Below are 26,151 nucleotides of genomic sequence, written 5' to 3'. Positions count from 1 at the left end.
AATATCCTTACACAGCTTCTCTTTGCTTTTAAGAGAAAACTTAAAACTCCTAAACATCATTACAAGACCCTCCATAGTCTGACCCTGCTCATTTCATCATTTTACCTCTCCAACTTACTCTCTGCTCCAGCTCTACTAAACTCCCTGTTCTATGAACTTCCCCTGCTCCCCCTGCCTACGCTGTTAGACACTTTTGTTCTCTCAACTCTTCAGGTCCTGGAGCAAATGTCACTTTATGGAGTGGTTCACTAAGCCCGAGACCAGTGGAAAACCCTCTGCTACACTGTCCTATATCTTCCTGTACTTCCCCTATTATAATGTTCCGTGCTTTCCACATGTTTAGAACTCAAAAATTATCCGCTGAAAGAATTGGTGAATATGCAAGTTCACTTCCTGATTTTTAACCAGTTTGTATTTTTCGCTCACTTCAGAGATCATCAGTGCCTCAAAGAATTAAAATGAGGACAGTTCAGTCAACAGAGTGACAATTTTTTTTATCTCTAGATTTCCTTGTTCTCAAGAATTGAATAAATGAGTGAGTGAATGAATGAATTTATATGAGTAATACTCAACAGCAGACTTTACTAGTTCAATTCTCCCTTTCCAGTGAGCCATGAGATATGCTCAAATACAGACCAAATAGATCATCAGTGACACAAAAACATACCTTTTTGGCTCTAGTGACCAAGCTGAGAAAGTAGAGACTCAAGTTTTTCTGTGACAAGCAGAAAAGTGAATGAGGTCCTTTCATTTGCCTTCCCTGACCCTGCTTTGTATCTCTGGCCCCTCAGGTTTGAGTTGTGAAAAGATCTGGCTGCTTAGAAAGATATAAGACTGTGAGTTAATTTATAAGATTGTAGACAGCTAGAGAGTTAATTTAATTGAAAGATATAATTACCAGGTGTTGAAGGCAAAGGGGTTCATTAATTTCACAGACACTCTGTTGACTGAACTGTCCTCATTTTAATTTTTCATGACACATCAAGGAGGAAGACACCTGTGGGTCATGAGAATGGACCAATCCTGAACTTGCAGGCACTTACATCCCACCCAAGGGGCAAATAATCTGTCAGAAGTAGAAGGCTAAGTTGTTTTCTACTGTTCAAAACTCCTCTTTGTAAAACTCTATCATAATCCTCCATCTACCCTTTGGGCTCCATGAAACCCTTCATAATCCAGCCTTTGTTTACTTCTCCTGCCTCAATATTTGATACCCTTCCCCATTCCTGTTCTGTTTGAAATATTTTGAACAAATAGTAAAACTAATAATTATTGGTATAATAATCATTTTAATTATTACTACTGCTATTAGTATTTACTACATTCTTAGTATGCACAAAACACTGCTATACGCACTATATTCACATTAGCTTATGTGGTCCTCCTGACTGCTGTGGTAGGTGCTAATTTTAAACGTGAGAAAAGTGAGTATGGGACCAGTCAAATTACTTGCCCCAAATCAAGCACCTAATAAAAGCAAACCCTAAGTTATACTGGAGGACCAAACTCTGTCTTTTAAAATGCAAGGGTTTTGTTGTTGTTGTTGAATCCTATCCTACATTCGTCTGTGCATTCTTTGAGGGCAATTGGTGTGTCTCCAACAACCAGCAGAGCGCTTGGCACTTAGAAGGCTGTCAAGTAACCTGCTGGGTGAAGAACAAAGGAACTTTCCTTTCTTTACTTAATTATAGCAGTGCTAGCATCTAGGAGAGAAACGTTGGCTATATAGTCGTCATAACCCAGCTAGAGATGGAAATGGCAGTACTTCCTAAAACAAATATCTCAAAGGACCAGGGTCCTTGCAGCGAAGTCCACAGAAATGCTCAAAGTAGGATCAGCACAGAATTTATCAAGGACATACTGAGCAGCTTGATGGAAAGAGCTTTCCACATTATTCTGCTTGTCTTGGCCATACAAGCCAGGTATTCTTACTTTAATAATACACTTTTTTTTTTCCTTGAGACGGTGTCTCGCTCTGTTACCCGGGGTGGAGTGCAATGGTGCAATCTGGGCTCACTGCACCCTCTGCCTCCCGGGTTCAAGCGATTCTTGTGTCTCAGCCTCCTGAGTAGCTGGGATTACAGGCATCTGCCACCAGCCCAGCTAATTTTTATATTTTTAGTAGAGACAGAGTTTCACCATGTTGGCCAGGATGGTCTCGAACTCCTGACCTCGTGATCTGCCCACCTCGGCCTCCCAAAGTGCTGGGATTACAGGCATGAGCCACCGTGCCCAGCTGATAATATACTTTTAAAACATGGACATACCAATAGTCCTTGAGATATGTAAGATCATCTTATACGCATACAATTAAGAGATACTCTTGATATTTGCCTGCAGTTTAAAAGACTAACAATAAAAATGGTAATAATAATAGTGAAAATAATAAAAATAGTAACATTTTATTATATGTCTACTCTATGACTGATGCTATCCAAACATTACCTGTAGTCTCACAAGAACACTATTAAGCAGAAATTAATATTAGCTCCATTCGACAGAGGAAGAAACTGAGAAATAGCTTGCCCAAGATTAGCTATAACTTGAAAGAGCAAGAATTCAAATTTAGGTTGTTCTGACTGCAAATTATTTTCATACCATTTCTAAGTAATGCTCACTACTTCAGCATATTTTATCTTAATTTTTAAATATATTATTTAATTATGGCTGTTAATTGAAGGCTTATTTCACAGAGAATAGGATAAGGATTTACAGCGAAAATATAGAGGCTATTTTGGAGGGAAAAAAATTACCTTGAGTTTCATGTCCTTGATATTGCTGGCCAAAATTAGCCACATACCTCAGACTATAGTGGAGGCAGACAGTTCAATTAACCAAATATGGGGAAAAATAGCATTGATTAAGTAGAAATCTTAAGAAGTGGTTAATTACATTTCCTGGATAACTGAAGACATTTTGTGTTTCAGCCCATCTTAATGAAAATCTAAATATATCAGGCCCTTTGCAGAGAACAGATCACAGCGCCTTTCTCTGTGTCCTTGAAGTTTATTTAATCAAGTTTTTCAGAACACATATATTGACTTCTTCAGCGTCTCCACTATAATTGTGATATTTAGTAATGATTCCTGATTCCACAGGAGAGATTGTTTCCTAAATGTTTATAATCATTTTATGGTATGACATCACAACACTTGAAAACCTGTATCTCACTCATGCATCTCTAACAATTGGAAATTCATATAATTTCAATTTCATTCTTCTGAACCTCACCCATGTCTTGTTCTGAACTTGTCTCTGTCTTATCCTAAACTTCATTTAAGTCATTTTGGGGTAACAGACATAGAGTTGTAAATGATTTCCTGGAGGGGAGACTGAGCACAGCTAATCCCCAGGGAGATGCCCAAAACTTCTAAACCCTTGTAGTTAATTTACACATTAGATTCTTGGCATTCATATATTTTCTCTTTCTACTGTTGTAGTTGTGGTTATTTTTAATTTTTCTCAGCTTATATTTAGAGTATATTAGTTCCTGTGGTTTCAAGCCAAATGTATAATCTCAACAATCAATAAGTGTAGATATGGTGACATTAATATCAGTGCCCAAATCCCAGTTATTCTGAGCCTACTCTGCTGTGTTCCCTCTGCCCTGCCTTCAGCAGGATAGTGATGTTTCCTATGGGCTTAGGAGAAAGTTCACTTATTTTCTACTTTAGGTACTCTTCAAGGCTTCTTCTCACAGCCCCTGCTTCATTGGGCATAGCTATGCTTACCTGCTGATTACCCAAGCCCACAGAGTCATTGAGCTACACTTTAGTAAGCAGTAGACTATTGAGGGGGAAAGGACTTATCCATAATTCAGACTTTATCAGATGGACTTCAGAGGAGAGTCGCTTGAGCCCGGTGTCTCTCAGGTTTTGCCTGAGCACCATTTCTGCATTTTCTATTTTGCTTAGGAGTTCAAATCTGATTCATTCACAGGGCGGAAAGAACATACGCCATCTCATCCATTGTCTTCCTCTTCCCCCAGATGCTTCGAAGGAAAATAAAGAAAACCAACAAAGACAATAAGCTGCTCCTTCTTCATTTAGCCCATCTCACTGTTGACTTCTCCAGAGAAGACGCTGTAACAGAGTTTGAAGAACAAGATCTTTCTTGGAAATCAACACCTGTGAAAGCAAGAGGGTATAAGCAGAATTGTGCAGAGGAAGAAGGTAAACCCCAATGTAGGCCCAACTGTGCATCTACTGATGTGGCAAAGAGCAAAGTGAATGTTGCTTATCAGACTTTCTACATTGGACCTGCATGGTCAGGAAATTACATCCCTGCCTGGGTGAGTCACTGTATGTAGTATCCCCAGGAAGGGCATGACCTCATCAAAGTAGATTTCTGCAGTTGAGACAGACCCTGAAGATGTCAGATGGAGGCTGTTTACTGACAATACTCCTTGTAATAGAACAGCTACCCCTTCCTTGTTTCCTTTGACTCTCAAACAAAAAAGACCCATGCAGCTCTTTGGATAGAAATAAATATATAGATATTTGGGTGCTGCCTAAGTCTTCTCCCAGAAGCATCTGAGCCCTAGTTTCCATGAGGTAAATTAAAAATTTGACCTTTTATTATATTTAAGAGGGACACATTCAAAGACCTATCTTTGAAGAACATGAAAAGTGCACTACAGAATTCCTAACATTTACCGTAAGTGAAAGGACAGCCCATCTCAGTGATCACCCATAACTGTGATTGTCCATGTCCTACCCAGGCATAGGGTGGAGCCAGAGAGCAGTGGTCCACTTAACCAGGCTTGAGTCTGGATTGCAGTGTTAGAATATACAGTACAAAGAGATCAGAATTGGAGTGTTGAAATATACAATACAAAGAGAGCAAGCTTGGGAGCACAAGTGTTCAGAGTCAGATTGCTAAGTCAAGGCCATATATACCTACAATCAGAGATGAGAGGGACAGACTCATTTCAAGATGGAGAAACATTGCTTGAAGCAATATAACACCAGAATGGCAAATCCTAACAAGATTACCTGAAATGCTTTGGCCTCTATCTTGACTTTCATTGATTTAGTTTCACTAGTAACATTGGTATAGTCTAACATTTTTAGGAACATACTATGTACAAGGCACTGTGTTGAATCCAGACTATACATTATTTTATTCATCTTTAATATAAACCTATGATTTGGGAGTTATTATGTCCATTATACAGGTGCATGAATTGATTCTCATTTACATTAAGAATTTTTCCTAAGTCAACAGCTAGTAAACATTAGGGCTTCTCTTCTTAGCCAGGTTCTACTGAACCCAAAGGGTACAAAAAAAGATCGACAATTGTAAGTCAGACTGAAGATTTGGGTTAAATACAAGAAGCATTATAATGATAAGAATCATCCAAACACAGAATTGGCTATCCTGGTGAAGATCTCTCCATCCCTGGAAGGGTTCCAACAAAGATAGGTGGCCATCTGTTATGCACATTGCAGAGTTCTGACTGGCTGGATGGTTGAACTTATGATTTTACAATACTCTTTCCAATCCAGATGCTCTAATTTTAAATCCCTGGTAACTCCTGCAATTTCCATTGCAATCCTCTTTCTGAGGCATTATACAGCTGACATGCTTCTCTAATATTTTGGCTTTCTCTTGATGTAGAGTGGACATTTACAGTTAGGAATAAAATTTGGATAATTTATACTTTAATACAATTTGTACTAGAAAAAAATAGATGCTTAACTGTACACTATGCCAGCATAACCAAGACAAAGCTGGAACACTCTAGGGTTTGCCTCTGTCCAGTGTCACATTCAGAAGAAATTCTAATTTAATATGAACCAATATTTGAAAATTTAAAAGGCTATTTAAATCTACAATTAAGTTTCAAAAAAAATAAAAATTTGCCAAACACGATACTAAGGAAAAGAGTAACTGCTTAAAATCATTTTTCAAAGTGTATTTACCTTAGACTTCAAATTAATGATGGCTGCCCAATAAATATTCTTTTCAAAAGCCCCAATGTCTTCAAACTCCAGCCCATGCCAAACTTTCCCACTCTCTTATGAGTCTATCATTTTATGTTAAGAGCACCTCTCCTCTCTTTCTTGTTTAAAACAAGTCAATGAATGTTTCTTCTTCCTCCAATTCAACATTTCACTCATTAACTCTTAGAAGGCAGAAAAGAAGGGTCTGAATATTCATGCTTTATTATTAAACTTTAGTAATGTCTTTACAGACTCCACCAAAGAAGGTAATATGTCTATTGTGCCACCTGTAGATTCTTATCATCTACCACCTGAACCCCTTCTTCCTGAACGTTCTTCTCATACTCCTACAGTGGGGTCATTTGGGATCTTCTAGAGGCTGAGCTTTGACTGTATCCATTCAAATTACTTCTAAAAAGCCCAGGTGTGAGTAACTGAAACCGAAGTCCACAGAGGCAATCATGCTGATTTCAGGTTCTGTGACCTCCCAATCCTGGTTCTTTTCCTCCTAAGAAAGAAAAAAATAACGGAATATCTATCGAGTTTGTTGCCCCATGGTCAGAGTGCCTGTCTTGATGTTTCTCTTCATCTTTAGTTTGTCTTTGACATTGTCTTTTCCATGCTGGGGCCTAAAGTTGACCAAGGAGCATCATCCCTTGGGACTGATTTTATCATAGTGGAAGCAACTTAGGAGGTGCAGCATCTGGCTGTCCCTGAAGCATCCACTTTTGGAGTTGAAACCACTTACCTGTGCCTACCTGGGCCACGCTTTGCAGGATCCAAATTCAGGAGGCTGTCACATGCCCTTAGCACCTCATATTCTCGCGTCTTACCTAGAGTTTTAGTCTGAGTTTTGCTATTTGATTTGTTCCCAGGGAAACATTATGGTCACCTTTTTTTCCTTTTTCCCCTTTATCTAATTGGCTTTAGTAGCAGCAAGAATTCAGTCATCTCCTCATATAGGTGGTGAAGTCTGAAATAGTTTTTTAACTCTTCGCTATAAATTGCTACTACACTGACTTGATCTAAGGAGTTTCTGATCCTCCAAGCCATCTTCTACCACCTGCTGCCCAATTACCAGCTACAGATCTCCCTCCAGTCTGGAAGAGAATGCATCTTGTAAGTTACTTTTCTGTCAATGTGCAGATATCAACTAAACACACACATTTCAGCCCCTGTTCACTATTTCTAGGAGGTTCAGTCAGGCAGTTCACCAGCAAAATAGGTTGCAAAAAGTGCATAAATAAATCCTAATCCAGGACGCTATTGACTCTTAATTGCCAACATCTCTCCTCTTCCCTGCACCTCTTGGTTCACTGCAAGCTTACACACAACTCAATGTTTCATTTGCTTGTTTTTTTATTCCCACATTGTCATTATCATGTTCCCTGCACATTGTCAAGTTTCTTAGAGTAATAATAGACTCAGGGTTATTTTGGTACAAGAATCATAACTTTACAAACATCATGTAATTAAAGATTAATCCTGACACAGGCTATCAGGTCTTCCTATTTAACAGCTGAAGTCATGCTGCTCTGTGGCTCTCTCAAAGACAGTTTATAATTCATTGAGCCAACTTTCAAATTATGAAATTCTTGATGAATTGTTTTTAATTTGGGTGAGTCACAGAGTGTTAAATATTGTGCATAAAGTGAGACTTATTGATACTTTATATGACCGTATGTCTAATTTGTGGAATTCAAATTCACATAAAATGCCTGTAACACAGATTCTACAATGTGCGTGATGGAGCACCACGGAGCTGGAGCTTAATTCTCAGGGATTTTGTCTTAAAAATGTGTTCCAGGAAAAAGCCTTGAATTAATCCATGATGTCTTCTACTGACTACCTCTTTCTTTTGAGAAAGATTTGTAATTCTTTCAGATATTGAACATCCATAGGAACCAGGTTAAAACAATAGACACATCTAGCCTAAAATTTACTGCAGTAGCCATGGAATTGCATGGCTCAAATCTCCTGCAGAAGTGGGAGTGGAGAAGCAATGTTGACAGATAGCCCCAGTGGTTGCTCTAATGAATCTCCAGCACCTCTGAGGCCACGCTTTTCATGGGATGCTCCCAGCCGATGACTGAGGACAATGAAGGGGCTAATGCAGAGTCCATTTCTGTGCATAGCAGGACTCCTCTAACAGGTGATTTGGCCCTTCTTGGAACCTCCTTAAGTCACCTAATTTGAGACTATTCTTACCCAATCCTCCAAATCCTTCTTTCTTTGTCTTCTTCTCTGGTGTCAGACCTGCCATCACAATTGGAAAGGTCTCCCTGCCTTCTCCTGCTTCCTCCCCTTTACCCTTAGACATTTCTCCTCCAATAAATCTTTTGCAGAGCTAATCTTATCTTTCCTTCTGCTGCTCTACAGTCATGTTCTTTTGACTTACTTAGCTTAGTGAGCATCCCCTTTTAAACTATATTGTCCAAAGAACATAATGGTGACCTCAAGTCGTCTACAGTGTTCCTCTGAACCTAATGGTCCATTGATGGACCTATGGCACATGGTCACATCTGAAGATCACTCCAGGACCACTGTGGCTCATATTGGATCAATATGTATCCCATGTGCCATATGACCACCAATTTGGCAGTCATGATGAAAACACATTCTTAGCTCCATTTCAAGATGAGGATTTGAGTTGAGTTGAAGCTGAGCATTTCACTTTTTATCCTAAATCCAAGATGAGTTTTCCATAATGAACACAAATAATATTTTATTACTCCATTTTAATACAATATTATCTTTATAAGAAATGTTGATCTGACATCTTAAAAATGAAGTGTATACCTTATTTTATGGTCATTTGTAATACTTGAAATGAAGGTGTGAATTAAGAAATACCAGTTTTTGAACTTTTCCAACAATTGCTACATACCCTTTCCTTTCTCTCTCCAAACCTGCTATTTATTTCATACTCACTGCTCATGAATGCTTATATTGTTCTCAATCCCTCCACACATTTTACTAGATCCTTCCTTCTCTCCCAAGAGAAGCCTTGTTCTTTCCAGTGTAAATAGAGCTAGTATTTTTGTTTTTCATTTTACCCTGTACTCATTGCCTTTTTTTCTTAGGAAACAAAATATGAGGAAAAATGTCAACATTACATATGAACAATTGTCTTTTTTCCGTCTTTACATAAGTAAATGGTTACCCACATCTAAGTGCTTTCACTGTAGCATCTTCTCATACTCCTAGCATCCTTTATGCCTGTGAAAAACTCAGACTGACTTTTGGTTCCTTCCAAGTGAGGAAATCATGAAACTAGCCCAAACATTAGCAATTCAGCACCTTTCGTGATGAAAAATCTTTTCATCCAAGAAAATTTAGGAGGCAGCAGAATGTCTGGCCTTGTGGCTAATTCAGCAGTGATCTCACATTCACACTACTGAGGTCTGGCAGCTCAGTTGGGAGTTGGCTAAGGCTAGAAGAGAAAGAAGTACATCCCTGCAGGCTAGTCATGGTCCCCCTCCTGCTATCCCTCCCTACTTCACACCCCATAATCAATCCTGGTCACTATTGCTAGCTTGCTACCACCTAGCCTGAATTGGTATTCTTCCTGCCTTACCAGTCTGCATTTAGATTTATGATTTATTTAGAACTGGATTACATCAAGGCTCAAGGCCAAGGCTCCATAATCCGTCACCGTCTCCAATGTGGCCAAACACAAACATTTGTTTTAGCTGCATCAGCATCTCTAAACCCCGCCAAAAGGATACCCATTGTTAATCGCTATAGCAACTGCATCCTTTTGTGTTTTTTTCTTCCCTAACTGCAACCTCTTTGCCTCCCTCCTTTCTTATTCCAAATGAAAGCATTGACTTCATCAAGTAATAGATATTCATAATTTAACAGAACGGTGGCAAGTCTAAGCTATGCTGTTGAAATACATCACACCCAGGGTTGCTTTGCTATTTGTTTTTGTGCTGAATATCAGCAAGTGTTTAAGTTATGGGTCTTTCACACATAAGGAGGAGGAAAGAGATATATGTAATTGTCACCAATATTGATGATGGCTTCTAGCCTGCTGAGTAAAGTCCCATGCAGCAAAATTAGGGTGTTTCTTCTTTAACTAATGTTCATGTCTTTTATATTTTATTATTGTTTTAATACTAGTGAAAAGGACTACATTTGATATCTCAATAGCTCATCAAGGTTAACAAAAAGTAAATACTACCTCACCTAAACTTTACAATGTTTTGCTAAATGAGGATATTTATGCTCTGTTTTATTGTTGAAGAAACAGACTCATAAAAGTGAAGTAGTGAGCCTAAGCTCACAGAGTTTTTAAGGAACAAAGAGAGAACTGAAGGCCAATCTTCAGATTCTAAGCCCAGAGCTCCTTCTGCTACACCATCATCACCTCCTTAACAAAGGAGGCATCTATGTGGACTAATTAGCTCACACATCAATTTAAAATGAACTTCCTGAAGGGCAGCAAGGGTGTATCTCAACGGGATACAGCTGTTAAGTTATACAAAAGTGGAAGTACAATGGGTTAAGTAAGCAACACTTTTGAGGATCTGAGACATGCCTAGGCATTGGAAAAATAAATCAAACAACAAATTATATAGAAAATGAAATGGATTGAGGAGTCCTAGCTTCTAGTCAAGCTCTGCTATTAATTCACTGCAAGCTATCTTTCTTCCCTGAGCTTTAGTTTCTTTGTGGGTAAAATGTGGGAGTTGAAATAGGTTTTCTCTAAGCTTAAAAACTTAATATTGTCCAAGTCTCTCTTAAGCACACATTGCATGCTTAACCTGGAGTTTGACACCTTCAGGAGTAGAAACAGAAGAAAAAATTGGTGTTTCTCTCCTTTATGTGATACAATATAACTAATGTTCACAAGGCACAGATAGTGTCACAAACACATACCACCAAACAAAGCAATGGGAACAGTATTTAAGTGTTACATTTTAAAGTTCATAAGTAAACATTGTAATTGGCCAAAGGAAAGGGAGTTCAGAGAGAACTAGAATGATCAAGAAAAATATTTATGGTATAAGAAAAATCTCAGCTGAATGATTATGGGTAAGAGAAATTTGAAGGGTAGTGTATTGGTTGGTTCTTACATTGCTGTAAATAAATACCTGAGACTGGGAAATTTATAAAGAAAAGAAGTTTAATTGACTCATGGTTCTGTAGGCTATACAGGAAGCATGATGCTGGCATCTGCTTGGCTTCTGGGGAGGCCTTAGGAAATGTACAATCTTGGTGGAAGGAGAAGGGGGAGCAGGTACGTCACATGGCAAAAGCACGAGAAATAGAGCAAGAGGGGAGGTGCTACCCACTTTCAAATGTCCAGATCTCATAAGAACTCACTCATTATCATGAGGCCTGTACTAAGGTGGGTGGTGCTAAACTATTTGATGTGGTTTGGCTCTGTGTCCCCACTGAAATCTCACCTTGAATTGTAATAATTCCCATATGTCAAGGGCTAGACCAAGTGAAGGTAATTGAATCATGGGGGTGGTTTCCCCATGCTGTTCTCATGATAGTGAATGAGTTTTCACAAGAGCTGATGGTTTTATAAGTGTGTGGCATTTCCTCTGCTGGCACTCATTCTCCCTTCTGCCACCCTGTGAAGAGGTGCCTTCTACCATGATTGTAAGTTTCCTGAGGCCTCCCTAGCAATGAGGACCTGTGAATTTTAAACCTCTTTCCCTTATAAATTACCCAGTCTTGGGTATTTCTTCATAGCAGCGCGAGAACGAACTAATATACTATTTACGAGAAATTCACTTCCATAATTCAATCACCTTCCACCAGGCCCCACCTCTAACATTAGGGATTACATTTCAATATTAGATTTGGACAGGGACATACATTCAAACTATTAGTATAACAGGTAGGAAAATGCATGTCCATACCCAATGAAGAAGTTAATGTTAAGTGAAAGCTCAGTAGAGGGAGTGAACTAGAACATTTCCATCTAGCTATGACTATTGACTTCTCTGTACCATAGCTTTGCTGTGAACTTTTGAAACTGGACCAAAAGTAGTTACAAAGAAGACTAAAATAATCATCCACCACTTACTCAACATTCAACTTTCAGAAGCTTATACAGAGAGAGGATGTAAAGAAAAGGAAAGAAGAATAGAAAAGAATAAAATATAAAACATAGCAAAATATGGAATTTTAATAATGTAGGGAGATATGATCCTATCTAATCCAATCAACTAAATACATATGGATAAAAGGGGCCCCCAAAATTAAGTGACTCTTCAATGGCATACAGTAACCACAAGCACAATGTGCCCCACACTCTCTGTGGTCCCCATTCTGGTGTTCCTTAACTACTACGGAGGTAGTAAAAGAAAACCAGAAAAGAAGATAGAAAAAAAATGAGTAAAAGGGAAGAGAAGGGTGAGGGGAGAAGGACCAGAAAAATATGCCAGTAGGAGTTCACAGAAGTCTGTGCTCACCCAGATATAGGAGGGCGAATTCAAAGCCACCCAAAACAACAAGAAACTGGAATAAGGTTCCTGCTCTCTCCTTATTATGTTAAGTTCTTCTTCAAGTATTTAGATGACTGACAAGGAAAAGATGTCACCACAGTTAAAACTTTGTCCATTTATCTGTCTGCTTCTGTCTGCAATGGGCCCCCGGTTTGGACAACTTCAGGTGGCTAGGCCCTTTAATCAGAACAAAGCCAATTTAAATGAATGGTGACTTAAACCACTAGTTCTCATTCTGAACATTAAATCACTGCAGAAGATTATTTTTTAAATACTCAGTGCTATTTTGTTTGTTTGTTTGTTTGTTTTTTATTTCCCCTAATGTGCACCTAAGTTTGAATGTCTTTGGCTTAAGGGGAAAAAAATTAAATTCAGGGTAATCTCAGTCAGAACCAATATCAGATTATCCCATGCAGCTGTATCTAGAACATGAGCCAGGCACTGAAACAAATGGGTATGAGGATTAGGATTAGAGGAGTGTCCTGAAAACTCACTCTCAATACTGGGAAATTAAGTATTTTAGGGAGCTATGTATCCACGTTCTATGTAATCCTTCTTGTTAGCATTTAAGACTCTTCCAGAGATGATGAGTTTACTAAGAAAACACCATAAGAAATGAACACTAAAGCCTCCAGAAAACATTCCCTGAGGAGACAAAATCTATGTTGAAAAGGACTACTGGGCTCAATAATAATCTGTTAGTTAATGTGTGGCTTGCAAAATATGTGGCCCACTAAAGGTCACTTAGCCCTGGTGCTGACTGGTTTGAACCAAAAATATGAAATGATTCAAGCAGGAAGTGGAGGCCTTGAGTGAACCTCAGCTGGTCAACTCTTTAACTTTTCCAGGCGGGCCTAGCATTTAGTGGAGCAGGGCTGGCTTTTCTAGAGCCCAGACCCTGGGCCTAAATTGGACCTGTCTCTCTTTTTCTTTTCTTTTTTTTTTTTTTTTTGAGATGGAGTCTTGCTCTGTCGCCCAGGCTGGAGTGCAGTGGCGCGATCTCGGTTCACTGCAAGCTCCGCCTCCCGGGTTCATGCTATTCTCTCGCCTCAGCCTCCTGAGTGGCTGAGTGCCCAGCTAATTTTTTGTATTTTTAGTAGCGATGGGGTTTCACCGTGTTAGCCAGGATGGTCTCGATCTCCTGACTTCGTAATCCTCCAGCCTCAGCCTCCCAAAGTGCTGGGATTACAGGCATGAGCCACCGCACCCAGCCTGGACCTGTCTCTCTAAGAAGAGTGAACATGAAAAAAAAGAAAGATGTTTATCTCTGAGTCAGAGGGCAAAGTAGGCTTCTGTGGGTCAGTGGAATTCCCGTCTGTATTTTGGGCTGAGAATCTCAGCACCTTAAAAAGAGTTGTCAGTGCCTCTGACCTCTCATGCACTCTTAACTCTGGAGTCCCTGTCTCTCTTCTGGGGAATGCTGACTTCAGTCAGCCTCCTTCTACCTAAAGAAAGCTGCACAGAAACTCTTTTCCCATGAACTGAACAGAAACATCCTGGATGAAGGGAGATTATGACTGCGCTTGAGGACATTCTGAAGGCAAAACATGCCGGCTCCCACCACGGCACATGTGAGGATTCTCTTTCTGAAAAATTCTGAAGGTTTCATCTGTTGGTCAAATTGATGATGATGATTCTAAACTATTTGTAAATGCTTACTGTTTGCTGAGCACCATGGTGAATATAGATACACTAACCTGGGAACAATGAAAGTTTTACTATTAACGTGCATGTCATAAGTATTGAATTGGAGAACTGAACAAAATGTTTTGGAAGCACTCATTAGGAGGTGACCCATTTTTATAAGAAAGTTGTGGAGGGATAAAAGACATTTCACAGAGGCTATGATTTCTGTGTTAGACTTTGATGGTGAGGTATTAAGCTGGGTTGGGAATATTGGTAGAAACATGCTCATTAGAGGTGAGATTAGGAAGCTAAATCAAGATTTGTCAGATAATCCAACTAACTTGGAGAGATTGTCTAGCGTGGCTTGGGAACACAGCTGGGGCATCATAAGCCACACTGGTCACCTCACTCCCTAAAACCCTTTCATGACTCCCTGCTATCCTTAGTACAAAGCTCAAACTTCTTAACTTGTAATACAAGGCCTTCAGGATTTTAGTCTGTGTTTCTTTGCCTAGACCCATCTTTTCCCTCATTTATGTTAGCTACCATTTAGGCCCATTCTTTTTGGTTTTTCAAACAGTTTTTGTGTTTGTTAATCTCTACAGCTTCTAAAAGGCTTTTACATAAAATAACCATCCTCCTCAATCTTCATCTTGTTGATAACTACTCATCCTTGATATTTCAGTTTAGATAATCACTTTCTTAAAAGGACATTCCTAAGTCTTCAGATCAAGCTAGCTTTCCTTCTCCTTCCCCTTTTATAACACTTTATCTTTGAATTTACTTTTTCTATCCCCACTAGACTTCAAAATAGATTGTGTCTTAGTTACCAGTGTGCCCTTGTTACCTGGCATTTTCCCTAGCATCTAGTAGGTTTTCAGTAATACTTGTTTAAAAGAGAGGGTAAGGCAAGATTGCAAAGGATGTTGAATGTCAGGGTCAGGCTATTATCCTATAGCTGGCAGGGATATGCTGCAGATTGGTTTAAACTAGGAAGAATACACTATCAAAGCTGAGTACTGAGAGATATCACTGTGTAGATGATGCTGGAATGAGTAGAATCTGAGGCTTCTTGCATAGAGAAATGCCTTGACTGTATATTTGATTTTAGAGGCCATATTAACCAAGCTATCTCTGGACCAGAACCCTGTGTTGTTACTGTTTTTACTGCAGAAAATGATCCTGCTTCAGCATCCCTGCCCTATCATGGTCCCACCTGATAAGAAACCTAGCCAATCAGGTGAAGTAGGGATAAGGAAGGAAAAGGAAAAACTCATTCTTCAATCACTTTCAAAATCTCCCCTGTGCTTTGATTTGCTTTCAGAGAACACTTTAGCTCAACAAACTATTGCAAACTACCCAGTTGCAAGGTAAAATGAAAAGCCCACCGGCATTAATTATATGTAGAGATATTAAAAAAGAAGCTACTGCTTAATTATTGTTTGCAAATCTCGGTATTTAAATTGACTTATTTGCAAATGTCTGTTTAGAAATTGACTTTGTAATTATAAAGTCAGTGCAGGGATGTCTCAGGCCCTGGAGGAGTCTCTAACGAGGAATGATAATGTAACAGCCAGAGTGAGACGTTGTGAGCTGCATTTTAATAACTAAAGGTGGTTGGCAGGGAGTTGAGATGCTTAGTGGAAAATCCCTAAACTGGCAAATGAAGGGGCCAGGGTCTCCCTCCCTTGTTGGCAAGGAATCATTAGAGGAGACAGGAGGGGGCAGGCAGGGAGCAAAGAATTTGAAGGTGGGTGAGGCCAGGGGCAACTGGGAGAGAGAAACGGAGGGAGTGTGTTGTGTTCTGTGTGAAAGGAGTCCTCCTTTGAAACCAATTACAGAGGTTTCAGGAAATCATCTAACACCAATAATGCTCTACCCAATTGTTGAAATCTATAGGTACTATGGTAATATTACTTCAAACTGAACTGTGTCCCTCCAGAGTTCATATACTGAAGTCCTAACCCTCAGTACTTCAACTTGTGTCATTATTTGGATATAGGGTCCCTGCAGATGTTGTTAAGATGTGGCCATATAGAAATAGGTTGGGCCCTTAATCAAATATGATTGGCTTCCTTATAAAAATGGGGAAATGTGAATACAGAAACACACACAAGGAGAATGCCATGTGAAGATGAAGGCAGAGATTGAGCCAATGCTTCTACCATCCAATAAATCCCAAAGATTGACAGCAAACTACCAGAAGCTAGGGGAAAAGATGTAACACAGAATCTTTCTTAGAGACGTCATGGGGAACCAACCCTGCCAACACCTTGGTCTCAGACTTCTAAGCCTCCAGAATTGTGCAACAAGAAATTTCTCTTGCTTCAGCTTCCCAGTTTGTGGTTCTTTGTAACTCTAGGAAAGTAATACAGCTGGCATATTGGACTCACAATGGCATTACCTATCTCTACAAAGAAATTGGAGAGGGACTGATCTAGAGCTAACAAGAGGTTTTTGCAAAATACTAGAGTATTAGACATGGAAGGGCCTGACCTTGAAACTATCTAGAATGATCAATGGGTCTTGAACATGGTTACATTTTGGAATTACCTGGGGAGTTTAAAAAAATACCAATGCCTATATTCTATGCTCAGAGATTCTGATTTAATTAATCTGGGGTATCTCCTGGACATCAGGCCTTTAAAAGCACCCATGGAGAGCTCATTTGTAGCCAAGGTTGAGAACCAACCTTCTAGATTTTACATTATCTCCTTCATTTAACAGGAGAGGAAATTAAGGCTCAGAGAGGTGAAGGAATAATTGCCAAGGATCACACTGTTAATAAGTGGAAGAAACGAGAAGTACCCAGACACTTGGAATTTCAGTTCATTGTTCTTCCCACCGAGCAGGATTTCTATCCTCTTGGCCCTGGATATAGAATGCATGTACTGATTTCTGTTTCCTCGGGAGTCCTCTAGTCCTAGGCGAATGGTGACCTTGGCCATTGATATTAAAGGAAAGTTGTCAATTCTCCATGTGCACAGTGAGTTTAGAATACTATTTCACACATACCTCATCCTATTTCTTTATAGCAACTTTATCATATTAAGTGGGGCAAGTACGTTCCACCTGTTAAAGAAGATTAAGTACAGAGACATGACACTGGCTCTCAAATTCAACTGTTGGTTAAAGACAGAACCAGGATTCAAACTTGGGCCTTTCTGAAACTACTCAATTATTTTTTCACCACTTGTCCAGTGAAAGTGAAGTTAAACTGTATTGGTCTAATCTTTGTTCAAATATTTCTAAACAACCTTGGCCACTTTTCTGCTTTGATTCTACTTATGTCAATGTAATCCATTTACTCCGAAAAGACAAAAGACTTGCAAGAACTTTGGGCCTTCATTCAAATATATCGCAAGGCTCAGAGTGGTGATGGAGAGTGTGGTCATCACGATGTTAGAGAAAATATCACTAAAGAAGGGTCATGTTCTCATTTTCCATTTAAAGATAGGTCTGTTATCCTGCTTTAAAATGACCACCCTGGCCATTCAACGTATCCCCACCACTAATAGACACAGATATCAAATTAGAGCCATTTGATTCCTATCTGTAATCCTAGTTGCACACCTATTTTTTTGTACTTATACAGATATAGGTTCAAGGTCCAAGTCTTGGATTTACTACTTATTAATTATGGAACTGTAGGGAAGTCAAATACTTTGAGTTTTAATTTTCTCAATTGTAGAATGGAAAGAGTAATGCCTATTCCTCATCTGGTGAGTAAAGCCGAGACAGCCAAGTATAAAGAGGTCCTCAGAGAACCTCTGACTGGCCTGCGCACTGGGAGAATGGGGTGGAGGCTCGGGAAGTTCACGCTCTTTGTAAGGGTGTGGCCTGGTCTCTCCTGTTCTGGGGTGGTTACCTGGAATTCAATCTGTGAGATGAGGGCCTGTTAACAGGAACCTCTCTCACTTTGCTGAATTTTTTTTCCTTTTTACCCAATAAATTTCATTTTTCTCACCCTTCAAAGTGTCTGCAAGCCTAATTTTTCATGGTTGTGTGACAAGGACCCCATTTTTAGCTGAACTAAGGAGAAAGTCCTACAACAAAATGACCTCCTGTAAATAATATTCCTTATACAGATGCACCTTGATTTGCAATGGGATTATATCCAGAAAAAAGCAATCATGAATCAAAACATTATAAGTTGAACCATTGTAACTCAGGAACTGTGTTTATATATTATTCCCTCAATAATGTGAGATTGAATCTTTTCTTCCAGATAAGTAGCTAACAACAATGGTTTCTAAACAATCAATGGCTTGTCCTGCTTTGGACCATTAGCTGTATTGTTCCTATTCCCAAGTCCTATTTTGTAATTTCACCTTGTTTGTGTCCCAGTTTTAAAGTCTTTGCTTCAGCAAACTGTTCAGGACTCCATTTATTTGCATTGAGCCCAAGGTTTTTCTTACTAATTCTTCCAGTGACTTAAATTTTGCCGATGATCCAGCTTCCATCTCTTTCTTCTATGCTACTTCTCTGGAACATCACTAAGAAAACTATTCATGCTCTGACTGCCTTCTGTGATTCTGCCTATTGCCTCCCTGGTCTTGACAACCTGAAGAGGCTTGGGTTTTAGCTATTTCTCAAAGAGCAAGAGCATGAATGGAGTCACAATAGTAGGATGTAAACTCTCAAGCTCTTCAGGAAGACTTATCCCTAGAGGGCAAACAGCAAAGTAAAGAAGGTGGGAGACATATTGTTGAGGATCAAGTGCCCAGAATAACACTCTGAGTCCATGTTATAGGTCCAAAGCCCAAGTCTTGGATCCACTATGCATTAATTATGGAACTGTAGGGAAGTCAAATACTTTGAGTTTTAATTTTCTCAAATGTAGAATGGAAAGAGTAATGCCTATTCCTTGTCTGGTGAGTACAGTGATCTCATGTAAATAATATTCCTTATACAGATGCACCTTGACTTACAATGGGATTATACCCAGAAAACCAAATCATGAATCAAAACATCATAAGTTGAACCATTGTAAATCAGGGAATGTGATTTACAATTATGGGAGAGGTGGTCTTTGATATCTCTTGATGGATATCCCTCTCCTCCTAAGAAGCCCCTGGACTTACCTTCTTTTACTGTATAAAACCAACCTGAAGAAAGTCATCAAAGTGGTCTGGCCTTCAGAGACTGCAAAACCAGAAGGTGATGTTTGCTGTACAAAATGTCATCACTTTTAAATCTTGCAATCTGACTGGATTCCCTGAAAAATGCTAAATGTGTTTTAAGTAAAGCTCAAAATTCAAATGAATACTCCCAACAATATTTATGCATTCCATTTCTTTCTTATATACAGGCCATAACATTGAGGAATTGCATATAAAATATTAGAACCTGAAATTTGTAGGGCACCTCCCATGGGCCAAGCATATTCTGAATCTTCATAATATCATTATGACATATGTATTATTACTAGTTCTATTTTGCAGATGAGAAAACTGAGGCTTAAAAAAAGTTAGCAAGTTATTCAATACCAAGTTAGCTCATCCAGAATCTTGCAGTTAACAAAGAAGAAAGGTGCAATTTGATGCAGCCCTGTGTGATTTCAATATCTATTCTCAGAATTACTAAATGATACTATTTAGGAAACCAAAGAAAGACCACTTTCTCCCAACCCCTCATTTAACCCCCTTCAGGAGAGAACAAGATAGAGATTCACCACTATCATTTATATGTATATTTCCAAGCCTATTTCTTTATTTGTAAAAGAAGGCTGAGCTCATCTAGAAAAACCCTTCAAGCGCCAATGTTTTATTATTCAGATACAAATACTGCCAGTGAAAGCAAGCAGCCACTGCTGAAGGGCAGATATTAATGCTCTACAATACCCCATTTCATTAACAATTAGATATGTTAAATGCCATTCAATTTTGTTTGCACCATGAAGTTCTGGGTAGGTGTCTATGTTTCTTATAACTTTCCAGTAATTCTCCATCACCAACTGGGTTAATTTTCCAAGCAGGCAGATGACAGATTTTAATTCTCAACCTTTAATATTCTCCAGCCCTTGGGACATTGGAGTTCCAACATGAACTGATTCAGCTACTATCCTAATCCAAGATTAGGATACTTTCTTTGGGGTGAAGTCTGTGTGGGCCCCTCCATGTATTTAAAAAAAAAAACAACATTAACAAGGCTTACATATGGGGTTGTCTCCATATCTACCCCACACTCACACCCACTGATTTTCTGATGGCAGACACTGTAAATTTATGACAGAGTAGGTTTTCAGACTCAATATAAATATTACTTACTCAAGGCTTCTCCTGTTGTAGTCTGAAGTGAAACAATCATAGAAGCCAAGTTTTAAAGAAGATATAGTAATAACAATAGTAATAATTCTAACAGCAAAGCAGCAAGAGCAACATTCACCCTTGCAGCTACCACATGCCAAATACAGTGGCTACATGCTTTATATATGTTTTTTCTCTTATTCTTAAAAATAATCCAATAAGTGGGTACTATGGTCATCTTCATTTTACTTGTGAGAAAATTGATTGTTTACTTTATTGCTTGTTTACATATTGGTTATTTTATTGGTTATTTGTTATTGATTGCTATATAACAAATTTAGCAGCCTAAAGCAATATATACATCATCTCGCTCAGTTTCTAAGGGTCATGAGCCTGGGAGTGTCTTAGGTGGGTGTTTCTGGCTTAAAGTCTCTCATAGGTTTGCAAACAAGATATTGCTCAGAACTGATGTCATATGAAGGCTTGACTGGGGATTGACTGAGATTCAGTCACATGGTTGTTAGTAAAAGGCTAATCCTACCATGTGGGTTTCTCCTAACAAAATGGCCACTGGTTTCCCTAGAATGAGTAAATCAAGAGAGGAAGAGGCAGAAGCTGCAGTGTCTCTTATTGCTTTGGGAGTGACATACCATCAATTGTGCATTATTCTATTAATCACATACCCCATCTCTGTTATTGTGTCCGGAATTGGTGGGTTCTTGGTCTCACTGACCTCAAGAATGAAGCCACGGACCCTCGCGGTGAGTGTTACAGCTCTTAAGGTGGCGCGTCTGGAGTTTGTTCCTTCTAATGTTCGGATGTGTTTGGAATTTCTTCCTTCTGGTGGGTTCCTGGTCTCGCTGGCTCAGGAGTGAAGCTGCAGACCTTCACAGTGAGTGTTACAGCTCTTAAGGCGGGGCATCTGGAGTTGTTCGTTCCTCCCGGTGGGCTCGTAGTCTCGCTGGCTTCAGGAGTGAAGCTGCAGACTTTTGCGGTGAGTGTTACAGCTCATAAAAGCAGTGTGGACCCAAACAGTGAGCAGCAGCAAGATTTATTGCAAAGAGCGAAAGAACAAAGCTTCCACAGTGTGGAAGGGGACCCCAGCGGGTTGCCACTGCTGGCTCCGGCAGCCTGCTTTTACTCTCTTATCTGGCCCCACCCACATCCTGCTGATTGGTAGAGCCGAGTGGTCTGTTTTGACAGGGTGCTGATTGGTGCCTTTACAATCCCTGAGCTAGACACAGAGGTTCTCCACCTCCCCACCAGATTAGTTAGATACAGAGTATGGACACAAAGGTTCTCCACGGCCCCACCAGAGTAGCTAGATACAGAGTGTCCATTGGTGTACTCACAAACCCTGAACTAGACACAGGGTGCTGATTGGTGTGTTTACAAACCTTGAGCTAGATACAGAGTGCCGATTGGTGTATTTACAATCCCTGAGCTAGACATAAAGGTTCTCCAAGACCCCACCAGACGCAGGAGCCCAGCTGGCTTCACCCAGTGGATCCCACACCGGGGCTGCAGGTTGAGCTGCCTGCCAGGGCTGGGACTGGGTGCCGTGGAGCAGGGGGCGGTGCTCGTCGGGCAGGCTCGGGCTGCACAGGACCCCACGGAGGTGGGGGAAGGCTCAGGCATGGCAGGCTGCAGTCCCTAGGCCTGCCCCGCGGGAAGGCAGCTAAGGCCCGGCAAGAAATCCAGTGCAGCGCCGGTGGGCTGGCACTGCTGGGGGACCCAGTAAACCCTCTGCAGCCGCTGGCCCGGGTGCTAAGCCCCTCATTGCCCGGGGCAGCAGGGCCGGCGGGCCGCTCCGAGTGCGGGGCCCACGAAGCCCACGCCCACCCGGAACTCCAGCTGTCCCGCAAGCACGGCACGCAGCCCCGGTTCCCGCTCGCGCCTCTCCCTCCACACCTCCCTGCAACCTGAGGGAGCCGGTTCCAGCCTTGGCCAGCCCAGAAAGGGGCTCCCACAGTGCAGCGGCGGGCTGAAGGGCTCCTCAAGTGCCGCCAAAGTGGGAGCTCAGGCAGAGGAGGCGCCGAGGGTGAGCGAGGGCTGTGAGGGCTGCCAGCCTGCTGTCACCTCTCATTATGATATGGGAGGATATACACAAGGGAATAATATCAGGAGGCAGAAGTCACTGGGGGCTACCTTGGAGTCTGCCTATCACACAAACTGAGATTACACAACTGGTAAAGTAGCAATAAAGAAATGAGTTTATAAACTCAAGTTATGTCATCTTCACAACCCATGCTTTAAACCACATGTTTACTGCCTCCTTAAAATGTCTTCTTGTGTACCTCACTTTATAAGCCTTTCACTACAAGTCAGGGTTCGATCAGAGAAACAGAATCACTAGGAGTGACATAGAATTAGGTATAGTAAGTTATATAGCAAGTTGATATTTAGTATAGTGTAGCAAATTATACAGTCTTTATGTGGGCTGGAGTCTACATGGCAGCCAGAAGAAGAAGAAGAAAAAGGAGGAGGAGGAGAGGAGGAGAAGGAGAAAGAGAGGAAGAACACATGGATATAAAGTGAAGAAGAGAAAGGACAAACCAGAATCTGATAAGACAAAGTAGAACCCACAAGGATGAAGGGAAACCCGTGTTAGGCTCTCAGTGCCTTCAAGCCTGCAAATTTGATGTGATATGTAGGTGATCTGCAGGAAAAGCTAGTGTTCTTTGTTATGGGAAGCTTGAGAAGATTACAGAAGAGATCTGAGGGGAAGTGAAGGAGTTACAGGGTTGCTGCTGCCCCATACCACAAGATAAACTGGGAATAAGCAATAATTTGGGTAATCTGCAGCAACTTCTTGCACCCTGCACAGACCTTCCAAGTCTAAACAGAATATAGTTGCTGTTTCCCTTCCTCTTTTCAAATCTCATATAAAATGTCTCTTGTGGCCCACAGTATTCCTGAATTATGCAGGGTAGGGAGTCCTTGGAAAGTCGATACCAGCTTAACTAAATTGACATAATACAAACCCACCATACCATCTCCTCTGTTGTGTTGCCCTTTTCCACAGTAGCATCTGCAAATCCATATCCATACTGTACCCATAGAGACACACCACAAGCTATCACTGTCTTGTAAGTTTTAATAATTTTTTTGCAAGGGACCACAAGTTGTCATTCTGCACCAGGCCCAATAAATCTGCACTGCCCCAATTTAGCCCTCATCCTTCTGACAGATTTTTTTCTTCAAAACTCACCTGTCAAACTTACCAAACTTACCTGTCACTTAGGAAAAGTTTTCCCACTCAACAATTCTACCCCCTAAAGATACACACACACACACACACACACACACACACACACACACACACACGTTAAAACAAAAAATCCTTCCCTGGAACTACTTCTGTGAGGTTGTTAGCTACTGCTTTGCACTTATCATCACGAAAGGTCATCATTTACTTCTCCATCTTTACTGTAAGTTCTTCAAGAGGCTCATCTTTGTATTCCTGTGCCCAGCACAGAGCTCAGCCCACCAGTTGAGTTGAATACTTTACAGCACCTGTGTCAGCTCACTTTCCAGCCTCTGCATCAATGTCTCCACTGTGAGTTAGCTCAGTACTTCACTAAGGAGCCAACTTTGAACAGCTTTCAGCAGCTGTGATAGCTAGAAAATTCTTTCTCATAAAGAAATCTAATTTTATCTACATTTATCTTCCTGTAGATTCTACATACTGATCATAATTTTATTCATTGAACATAGGCAAAATGAATCTGCTCTCTTCTAACGATAGCTCTCAGGTATGTGAAGGCTACTTACTGTTCTGCTTGTATTTGTATACCTACACCTCTCTGTGGCCTGGATCCATGACTAATATATCTCCTTACACACAAGGTCTAAGAGTCCTTGGATTGGTAGCGTTTCTAGTCTGTCTTGGTCTGGGGCAACTGGAATGACTTGGCTCTCCTTCGTGTATTTCTTAGCATTCTGCAGGGTATTCTGGACATGTTTTCATGGTGATAGAAGAGGTGTAATAACGGGGACAAGCCTACCTAACAAGTGTGTTGCTAGTCTCTGCTTGTGTCACTTCTCCTGACCTCCCACTGGCAAGTGGAGTGACCAACCATCCTGATTTTTGTGTAGCTGAAGGGTTTCCCTGGGCCCAAGGGGCTTCCGAAGGTGTGGGATCTTCAGTGCTAAAATCAGGACAACTGGTTACCTATCCAGTCATGTGACTAGGTTCAGAATCAGAGTGAGAGACACCACAAAGCTATCACGCAAAGGGTGTGAATTTGAGGATCAAAGAATTGGGGCCATTAATATAATCAATCTACTGTTCATGGGCTATGTGTTTTTCAAATCACTCCCAAACCAGTTGTTAGACCAAATCAATACATGTCATCTTCATTCTTCATCTTAAACTAAAAAGAGACCAGACATAGCCACAGAAAATGAAAGACATGTTGCTGAAGAACACAGTGGGGTTTGTTGATTTTTAAAATTCTCATACAGCTATTTTTCAAGTTGATAGCAGAAGTCTCTTGCTCACCTGCTCCCTAGAGCATTCCCCAAACAAGCCTATGTACTTTCCAATTAAACCCAGGTGAACTTAGCTCCGACCTATAGCTCAAGTGTCAGTGCAATGCCAAAACAACTGGATGAAAAATGTAAACTGAACTGAGCAGAGTTTTTGTTTTTGTGTTTGTGTTTTGCCTCCACTATTGCAAGCAATTTTTGATCAGGTTTTTCTCAAATCAGGTCAAATTCATGCATGATGACCTGGTGGGCAGAGCCTTCATCAACGGCTGCCACCCACCTCTCCCACTTATTTCCCTTTGCTCTCCCTTATTGGCACTCTGCTCCAAACAGGAAGTGCTGCTTCAGCCAGGTCATTCATTCATCATTCACTTATTGGAAACCCATCATTGGCTGGTTACTGTGCTAGGCCCAGGGAATGTGGGGAAGAATAGCTCTGAATCAGTAACCTGAAGCAAGCCAACAGCAGATACAGACTTCTGTACAAATAACTAGTGAAGATGTTTATATAAGATACATGCAAAATACACCACCATAGAAATATATGTAAGGTAAATGTAAAGGAAAAACACTGCTGTCTTTGCCTAGGCAAGTCAAAAAAGATTTCAGAAATGAAGTGTCCTTGGATTAAGCCTTGAACGATGATACAAGCCCACTTGTTATAGAGCAGAGCAGTTAAACACATGGACTTTGGAGTCAAATAGGGTTTGGAATGATATTCTGTCACTGGCTATCTGCATGACCTTGGGTAAGTTAATTAATTTCCCATTTTCCTGAATTTTACATGTTCTCATAAATAAAATGGTCTATTAAGAATTACATGAGATGAAATTATGTGTGGGTGTATATAAGTATGCCCATATATAGTACTTAGCATTGTGCTTCTCAGAGAGAAATCCCTCAGAATAGAGCTATTACCATTGTAATCACTTCTGATAGTGGCAAAAATGAATTGAGCAGAACATTCCAGATAGATAATACAGTAATTCCATGAGTATCAAAAAAGCATAACATGTTCTTGGCTTTAAAAAAACAGAAATTTGATTTGGCATTGAGTGTTATATGTCAAGATTGATCGCAGAAAGCGCAATAGATTGTGAAGAAGATAAGGTTGGAGAGGCAAAGGACACCTGAGACTGAAGGATTTAAAACTGTATGTAAAGTAATACTGTATGAAATTGGGAGGAGTTGATCACTAAGGAACAGAAATAAGTCAACATAATATCCCAACAAGATTCACTAGAATGGAAGATGTATAAGTACAAGGGTCATATCTGGCTTACCACTTCCTGTAGGTAGTTAACAATGCCGTTCTCCTTGCAGAAGATCTACAAACTTTTGCAGAATGAGCAAGTGAAGGAGTAGCAGTGGCAT

At 40.3% G+C, this 26,151-nt stretch overlaps 2 long non-coding RNA genes across 4 annotated transcripts in view; one reads left to right on the top strand and one right to left on the bottom strand.

Annotated features, from left to right (window-relative positions):
- Window positions 1-4,514, top strand: part of LOC105376243 (uncharacterized) — an 8,863-nt gene extending 4,349 nt beyond the window's left edge. The window contains exon 2 of the long non-coding RNA XR_001746917.3: window positions 3,989-4,514. This is a non-coding gene — a long non-coding RNA (uncharacterized LOC105376243). The remainder of the gene's footprint in view (window positions 1-3,988) is intronic.
- LOC105376244 (uncharacterized) overlaps window positions 2,987-26,151 on the bottom strand; it is a 111,773-nt gene continuing 88,608 nt past the window's right edge. For all 3 annotated transcript variants that reach the window (XR_007061905.1, XR_007061907.1, XR_007061906.1), the window contains one exon: window positions 2,987-26,151. This is a non-coding gene — a long non-coding RNA (uncharacterized LOC105376244).

Source organism: Homo sapiens, chromosome 9, assembly GCF_000001405.40.
Source record: "Homo sapiens chromosome 9, GRCh38.p14 Primary Assembly".
Lineage (NCBI taxonomy): Eukaryota > Metazoa > Chordata > Mammalia > Primates > Hominidae > Homo > Homo sapiens.
Note: the sequence above shows the minus strand (reverse complement) of the source record. Positions and strands in the feature narration are given on the sequence as shown.